The sequence below is a fragment of the Homo sapiens genome, chromosome 8 (genome assembly GCF_000001405.40).
Source record: "Homo sapiens chromosome 8, GRCh38.p14 Primary Assembly".
In the NCBI taxonomy this organism is placed as follows: Eukaryota; Metazoa; Chordata; class Mammalia; order Primates; family Hominidae; genus Homo; species Homo sapiens.
The window spans coordinates 50,910,028-50,919,302 of record NC_000008.11 but is presented as its reverse complement, the minus strand read 5'-3'; positions in this window follow the sequence as shown (position 1 = coordinate 50,919,302).

Below are 9,275 nucleotides of genomic sequence, written 5' to 3'. Positions count from 1 at the left end.
TTTGTTTTCCATTTGCTTGGTAGATCTTCCTCCATCCCTTTATTTTGAGCCTATGTGTGTCTCTGCACATGAGATGGGTTGCCTGAATACAGCACACTGATGGATCTTGACTCTTTAAAAATTTGCCAGTCTGTGTCTTTTAATTGGAGCATTTAGCCCATTTACATTTAAGGTTAATATTGTTGTGTGTAAATTTGATCCTGTCATTATGATGTTAGCTGGTTATTTTGCTCGTTAGTTGATGCAGTTTCTTCCTAGCCTTGATGGTCTTTACAATTTGGCATGTTTTTGTAGTGGCTGGTACCGGTTTTTCCTTTCCATGTTTAGTGCTTCCTTCAGGAGCTCTTTTAGTGCAGGCCTGGTGGTGACAAAATCTCTCAGCATTTGCTTGTCTGTAAAGGTTTTTATTTCTCCTTCACTTATGAAGCTTAGTTTGGCTGGATATGAAATTCTGGGTTGAAAATTCTTTTCTTTAAGAATGTTGAATATTGGCCCCCACTCTCTTCTGGCTTATAGAGTTTCTGCTGAGAGATCCGCTGTTAGTCTGATTGGCTTCCCTTTGTGGATAACCTGACCTTTCTCTCTGGCTGCCCTTAACATTTTATCCTTCATTTCAACTTTGGTGAATCTGACAATTGTGTGTCTTGGAGTTGCTCTTCTCGAGGAGTATCTTTATAGTATTCTCTGTATTTCCTGAATTTGAATGTTGGCCTGCCTTGCCAGATTGGGGAAGTTTTCCTGGATAATATCCTGCAGAGTGTTTTCCAACTTGGTTCCATTCTCCCTGTCACTTTCAGGTACACCAATCAGATGTAGATTTGGTCTTTTCACATAGTCCCATGTTTCTTGGAGGCTTTGCTAATTTCTTTTTATTATTTTTTCTCTAAACTTCTCTTTTCACTTCATTGCATTCATTTGATCTTCCATCACTGATACCCTTTCTTCCAGTTGATCAAATCGGCTACTGAGGCTTGTGCGTTCGTCTCGTAGTTCTCTTGCCATGGTTTTCAGCTCCATCAGGTCCTTTAAGGACCTCTCTTCACTGGTTATTCTAGCTAGCCATTCGTCTAATTTTTTCTCAAGGTTTTTAACTTCTTTGCCATGGGTTCGAACTTCCTCCTTTAGCTCAGAGTAGTTGGATCATCTGAAGCCTTCTTCTCTCAACTTGTCAAAGTCATTCTCTGTCCAGCTTTGTTCCATTGCTGGTGAGGAGCTGCGTTCCTTTGGAGGGGGAGAGGCACTCTGATTTTTAGAGTTTCCAGTTTTTCTGGCACAAGACAGGGATGCCCTCTCTCACCACTCCTATTCAACATAGTGTTCAAAGTTCTGGCCAGGGCAATCAGGTAGGGGAAAGAAATAAAGGGTATTCAATTAGTAAAAGAGGAAGTCAAATTGTCTGTGTTTGCAGATGACATGATTCTAGAAATTATCTAGAAATATTCTATAAAATATCTAGAAAATCCCATCATCTCAGCCCAAAATCTCCTTAAGCTGATAGGCAACTTCAGCAAAGTCTCAGGATACAAAATCAGTGTGCAAAAATCACAAGCATTCTTATACACCAATAACAGACAAACAGAGAGCCAAATCATGAGTGAACTCCCATTCACAATTGCTTCAAAGAGAATAAAATACCTAGGAATCCAACTTATAAGGGACATGAAGAATCTCCTCGAGGAGAACTACAAACCACTGCTCAATGAAATAAAAGAGGATACAAACAAATGGAAGAACATTCCATGCTCATGGGTAGGAAGAATCAATACCATGAAAATGACCATACTGCCCAAGGTAATTTATAGATTCAATGTCATCCCCATCAAGCTACCAATGACTTTCTTCACAGAATTGGAAAAAAACTACTTTAAAGTTCATGTGGAACCAAAAAAGAGCCCACATTGTCAAGTCAATCCTAAGCCAAAAGAACAAAGCTGGGGGCATCACGCTACCTGACTTCAAACTATACCACAAGGCTACAGTAACCAAAACAGCATGGTACTGGTACCAAAACAGAGATATAGACCAATGGAACAGAACAGAGCCCTCAGAAATAATGCCATATATCTACAGCTATCTGATCTTTGACAAACCTGACAAAAACTAGAAATGGGGAAAGGATTCCCTATTTAATAAATGGTGCTGGGAAAACTGGCTAGCCATATGTAGAAAGCTGAAACTGGATCCCTTCCTTATACCTTATACAAAAATTAATTCAAGATGGGTTAAAGACTTAAATGTTAGACCTAAAACCATAAAAACCCTAGAAGAAAACCTAGGCAATACTATTCAGGACATAGGCATGGGCAAGGACTTCATGTCTAAAACACCAAAAGCAATGGCAACAAAAGCCAAAATTGACAAATGGGATCTAATTAAACTAGAGAGCTTCTGCACAGCAATAGAAACTACCATCAGAGTGAACAGGCAACCTAGAGAATGGGAGAAATTTTTTGCAATCTACTCATCTGACAAAGGGCTAATATCCAGCATCTACAATGAACTCAAATTTACAAGAAAAAAACAAACAACCCCATCAAGAAGTGGGCAAAGGATATCAACAGACACTTCTCAAAAGAAGACATTTATGCAGCCAAAAGACACATGAAAAAATGCTCATCATCACTGGCCATCAGAGAAATGCAAATCAAACCACAATGAGATACCATCTCACACCAGTTAGAATGGCGATCATTAAAAAGTCAGGAAACAACAGGTGTTGGAGAGGATGTGGAGAAATAGGAACACTTTTATACTGTTGGTGGGACTGTAAACTAGTTCAACCATTGTAGAAGTCAGTGTGGCGATTCCTCAGGGATCTAGAACTAGAATTACCATTTGACCCAGCCATCCCATTACAGGGTATATATCCAAAGCATTATAAAACATGCTGCTATAAAGACACATGCACATGTATGTTTATTGCGGCACTATTCGCAATAGCAAAGACTTGGAACCAACCCAAATGTCCAACAATGATAGACTGGATTAAGAAAATATGGCACATATACACCATGGAATACTATGCGGCCATAAAAAATGATGAGTTCATGTCCTTTTTAGGGACATGGATGAAGCTGGAAACCATCGTTCTCAGCCCTGTCGCAAGGACAAGAAAAACAAACACCGCATGTTGTCACTCATAGGTGGGAATTGAACAATGAGAACACATGGACACAGGAAGGGGAACATCACACACTGGGGCCTGTTGTGGGGTGGGGGGCGGGGGGAGGGATAGCATTAGGAGATATACCTAATGTTAAATGATGAGTTAATCGGTGCAGCACACCAACATGGCACATGTATCCATATGTAACAAACCTGCATGTTGTGCACATGTACCCTAAAACTTAAAATATAATAATAAAAAAAAAGATACTGGCAGCTGGAAAGAAAAAATAATAAATCCAGAGAGTGAGCAATAACATCAGCTTACTCTTATTCAGTTGCCCCTCACAATTCCATGCCAGAAGCTTTTCAATGACACAAAGAAATATCAAAAGGCTAATGATATACAGTGTTTTCCATGAGGATGTTTAATCAAAAGAGTTAAAAAGGACTTTCATATGATCCATAATCAATACTAGAGAGATAGTATTTTATACTTGTGACTAATTATTTAAAGACACTGTAATAAGTAAAAGGTTACTGAAAATAGTGGTGAAATAAAAAGAAGGCATTATAATAAAAAAATGAAAATTAATCATGACATTTTTGAGAATTAAGCCTTTTGGTCGTGTCTGTTATGAGATAAATATCAATTTAAAGTTGATTTCAATGAACGATGTTGTTTTTCCTGCATTAACATATTTGCTTAATTCTCTGCTAGAATAATTAATGGGTATTATTGGAAAGAAGTGGAATTAGGCACTGCTCAATGCCTATTTACATGAACAGCGCATTACGAGCAAGATGTTCTTGAGGACTGTGCTGGCACTCCCTTGGGTTTCTAAAGTCTATAAAAAGCACTAAGTGAAGATAATAGCAACATAAAATCTATACATTCTTTAGCTTAAAATTTTTTCTATTAAATTTATATCTGTACTATTTACTAGTCCTATTAAATTATAGACACAAAACTCATTTTCACTCCAGTTCATGCCTTCTTTCAGCCAATTTGTGTTGTGTACCAACAGTTTCAGGCTATGTTCTAGGCCCTGGATATAGTAAAATATCTTCTCCTTTAAAGAAAAATAATGACCTACAGTTTATGGCACAGCTTTGCTCCAAAGTCAAAAAGATCTGCACTGTGATTCACCCCTAAGGCTTATAAAATATTCCATAGTGCATCCTTATGTACCTGTAGATACTACAAACACCCCAGGGTTACACAGGAACATGAACAGCAGTCGGGGCCTTTACAGAGCCTCTCTTCCCCAAACATACAGCCTTTTGGATTAAATAAACTGGAATGGCATTCCCAAATGAGATGTATGTTGTTTCCAAAATCCAAAGTGGCCCATTAAGGATGACACCTTTTCATGAAGGAGGGAGCAGGTACAGCAACTGTCCTCCTTGTGGGACATTTCTTCATATATCCTGATCACTATGCCCTAAGATTTTTACCAAGGTGGTGTATGTTTGTCTCTGAATTTGGGCGAGGTTTGTTTCCTAACTTCTGGCACACGTGTGACTTACAAAAACGTATAGGATATTTTACTACTTTCATCAGTATGAAAACATCCATGTAGTGGATTAGTGTGATGTCCAGTAGAACAGAGTAAAATCACAGTTCCTGAGCACTGATGATAGGACAGGGCTAGAAAAGGTTTTAGTACAACTGAGACAGAACAGCAAAGGTGCAATGCTTCATATGTTGCCTTGAACCTAACTGCTTCTGATGGCCACTGCTCTGAAGTACAGGGTAAATTTATCAGTTCATTGGGGCATACAGGTACCAGGACATATATTGATTTGCTGTCACCACAAAATCACATCTGTAATAGCAGCTATGTTTGGAGACCCCTTGTTTCAGTTTATGTGAATCCATTTTCCTTTCCTGAGGTACTCCTGTCTTCTGCCCAAGCCTAACAGACAAGTTGAATGGTGATGTGGTAGAAGTCTCCCAGCTTTATCTTTCTGGGCCTCAGTGGTAACACTTTCCTCTGAAATTCCATATTACTTTTGGCTTACAGTTTAATTAGGTAGGAACTCTTTTCATGGCATGCACTTACATTTGCTATTAAAATATTGTTCCACATGTCTGGGGTCCAATGTGTGTTTCTGCTAGCTGCTGAATATATTATTTCAACTATGTATTTCAGAACTTAGGAAGGAACTATGGAATGTGTTGAAATATATTATACCCACTTTGAGATCAGTCGGGGAAAAAATTCCATTAATCACCTGGCCTCTCTGAGTTACTATGATGACTACTGTACTATGGTGTTATTTTGGATTTCAAGGAATTAATGCTAATTTTGCATATGGTCCATTAATATTTAAAAGTCTGGCTATTTCCTCTTCCTCAGTGTATAGTTGCCATGGTGTGGCTTCAAGTTCCTCGTGTGCGGGCCAAATTTGGCTCAGTAACTTTCTTTTTTAATTGAGAACGTTTTAGTTGAACATAGTCATTCTCAGAGTCTACAGGTGCTGTAATGCTATAATGGCTGGATTGAGTACTTGCCCACAATGCCTCAAATATTTACTATCTTTTCCTATACAGACAAAGTTTGGTGACATTTGACTTATGGTATAAATTTTTGGCAATGTACAAAGTCTTCCCTCAATATCCTTACCTCTTTTTAAAGGAGCTCTGGTGTTGTGAATTGGATCAAGTCTGAGAGTTGGCTGAGGGATCAGGACCCTTTTGTAATGATTTAAGTGAGGGCCCCCTTCTTCAGATCTAGAACTTTTCTATTATCACATCAAGTTAGGCTTCGGTAGACTGCCCATCTATTTCAATTGCACAAAAACCATTATCATTAGCAAATGCCAAATATTTTTGTGGTTTATTCTGTTTTGTTATGATTTCTACTTTGATGCCCAGTAGAATAGTCACATTTACCTTGTGTCTGGTGGTTAGGTGGCACTACTTGGCCACTGCCTTTCAAACAAGACATAGCCTACTCATTCAATTTAAGAGCCCCAATGAAAGAGCGGAATTTCCTCTGTCATTTCTGGCCATCAATAGCCATTAGAGAGCTCTTCAAAATTAAAAGTGAAGCTATGCTAGTTCTACTAAGATGTATTAGCTCCATTCCTCCCAAGTACTCCCAGTTACCTCTAAAACACTCTGGACATTACAGAAAAATACGAGTGTTAGAAAACTCTGAAAGGTGGAATGAAGAAGAATGGCTGCCTTGTAACATTGGGACTTGAAGATGTTCCTTAGGTTCTCTTATTATTTCCCAAGTATCTTGGACAGAGTGCTGGGAAGCTTCCAATCCAGAACTAAAAAGACACAGACAAAAATGTTGCAAGAAAATCCTTGTTACCCCCAGTCATAAGTCCATGAAAAAAAGGTGACCTAACAACAGAAAACCTTTGGCAGTACCCATACTACTCCAGTCAACCCTAACATAAAATGGACCCCACTGGGGTTTCAGCCCCCACTTCACTACACTATAGAAGCACAGACAGCACCCAGTTCCATTGCAAGGCCATGAAGACAGATCAACTTCTGGTCCTGCCTCACAGAAACATCTGTACCAGATGGTGTTGGTGGGCTGAATGGGCAGGTTACCCTCATCTCCTGCTCAGAGAAACAGGTGGGGGTTGATCTCTGAGATGAACTTTAATTAAAAAAAAAACTTAGATGAACTAAATTTAACAGTTTATTTGAGCAAAACAATGGCTCTTCTCCAACAGCATGAACAGTCAGCACTTATAGGCTGAAAATGATCTGTGGGGACCCAACATGAAAACAAAAGTAAAGTAAGCACCTGATTGATTGGCTATAGCCAGACATTTGCCTCAAAGGTGAGGTACGGTGAGGTTTCTGCCTTGTTTGGATGTGGTCCCATGGCGGGATCCTAGTTGTACAAGAAATTTTCTGGAGGCTGTCATTGGCTAAAGTTCGTTATTTATTTATTTAAGTCAGTTACAATAAATGCTTCCAAATTAAGTTCTGTTTGGCCTACTTATTTAATACCCCAGTTACAGAGATAACTTCAGACTAATGGCTTCCTTATTTGCCTTGACAATGCTCCTTTTGTTTAAGCTTCTCAATCTTGATAGATTGACAAAAATTGGGAGCATTAATGCCACTCTCTGTCATCATTATAATGGACTTATTTGGTTTCATTAAGGAATTGATAAGTCATAATATCAGACTCACTAAAAGATGCTTCATGTTTTTTTGTCATTCTACAGGTAGTGAGGCCATTTTATGCACAGTGGGTGGCTGCATACAAGCATTTAAGACTCTTGAGGGGATACAGTGCATGAGAGAGAACAAAGTGATGACTATCAGGAGGATAATACCAAGAGGCTGAAATATGCCCTTTAATCAAAGACTCTGCAGACCAAACTAATTAAAATCAAATAAATCAAAGAACAGCCAGAAGAGGAATCTGTTTAAACCAAGTAGTCATTTGTTGATATTTTGTAACTGAGTTTCTACAATACCAAATATACTTATCCAAGTCTAGCAGGGGGTGTTAGCTGTCACACACACTTCTCATTGTTGAGCCAACAGATAGTCCAAAGCAATCCTGTTATCTAAAAACAAAAACAAAACCTTTATCAAGAAAGTTTAGAAAAGTTTGCTGCGTAACTGTGACCTTTGCAGAAGAGTCAGCTATAGTAGCAACTGTTTGAGACAGTTCTCTAATTATTACCTCATTTATATTTTTGCCAAGTTAGGAAAAATGCATTCTACCAAGAGATGCCCATTTAGAGAGATTTATACCTACTGGTAAATTTTTCTTTATTCTATAGTGCAAATTAAGAGGTGTAGACCAATATTCAATTTTTAGTTTGTTATAAAGTGGTAACATTAGAATCCCTAATCCATAATGCCTTCTTATTTTCCACTTATTGAGATATGGAGTTTCCTGTGAGTATAGTTGACCATTATATTTTCTACAGATCAAAACGAATTCTGGAGAGGCACAATAGACAGTTCTCTGTGGGGTGCCTTGTGATTTAGGAGTCACCTGTAGGGAAGCACTACTAGTATTTATCCAAGTCTCCACTACTGAATCTTTGCATGACTGAAGGCTAACGACAATTAGGAGATTAAGGTTATTAATTTGTCTGTAAAATTTCAAATTATTTTGTTTTTGGTTTTCTTATTCAGTTTCTGGCATAATTTAACCATAAATCCTCCCCATAGGTTTTACTTACTGTTAGACTGAAACAAGGAATGTAAACATGTGGATCTTAAAGCCTAACCTACAGCAAGGACCAGAGGTGCAATTCGAACAAGTAGTCACACAGAAAATATCAGTGAAATTTGTTATAGGGTAAAGTGGAAAAACTTTAAGATCATATGGAGATTTTAGTTTAGCATAACATATGTGATATTCAGTTATGTTTACTGTAGAAGCTATCAATTTCAAATGATCAATTATCATATAATTTTGCTATGCATAAACAGAAAAGTAACACAAGGAAAGTAGAAAAAGAGACACAAGTTTTACAAAAACAGAGGAGAGAAATCTTGATCTATGATCTTGGGAAAGCTGTTCATGTCTAGGCTGTGAAATGCTTCTGGGAACAAACCTCCATGGTCAATTTTACCATGAGGTCTTAAATGACTGTACAATCTGAAGAGCCTAGAGGGGACCTCTTGAGTTGAGAAATACAGACCCAAGTCTTAAGGCCCTGAAGTTTTGCTGCAGTGTGGGTAGTGAGAAGAACTTGGTATGGTCCCTTCCAAAAGGAGTTCAAGGACAATCTTCCTCTGATGTAGCCTCTAAAATATCCAATATTTGGGTTGTAGATCATGAAATGCCTGGCTGTCCTCAGTTGACAGTTTATGAAAGGCTTCTTTTACCTGGCAAAAATATACTTTGACATAGTGCTTTAAAGCTTTGCAGTATTGAGTCACATCAGAGTTTATAAGAACAGGAAATACATGACTTTCTATTATTTAGAAAGCATTAGAGTCCTTCCAGGAACTGTTTAATAAGTTCCAGTAACAGTTTAATAAGGAGCAAATTTGTATTTTGCAGTGGAGGTGAATCTGATTGCCTTCAAGGCCAAAGAATGCCATTGGTCAAGGCAATCCAGTTGATTTGACTAGCTTTACCAATTTCAGTCTTAAAATACCATTTGTCCTTTCAAACTTATCGGAAGTTTGAGGAAGGTAAAGATAATGATAATGCTGTTGT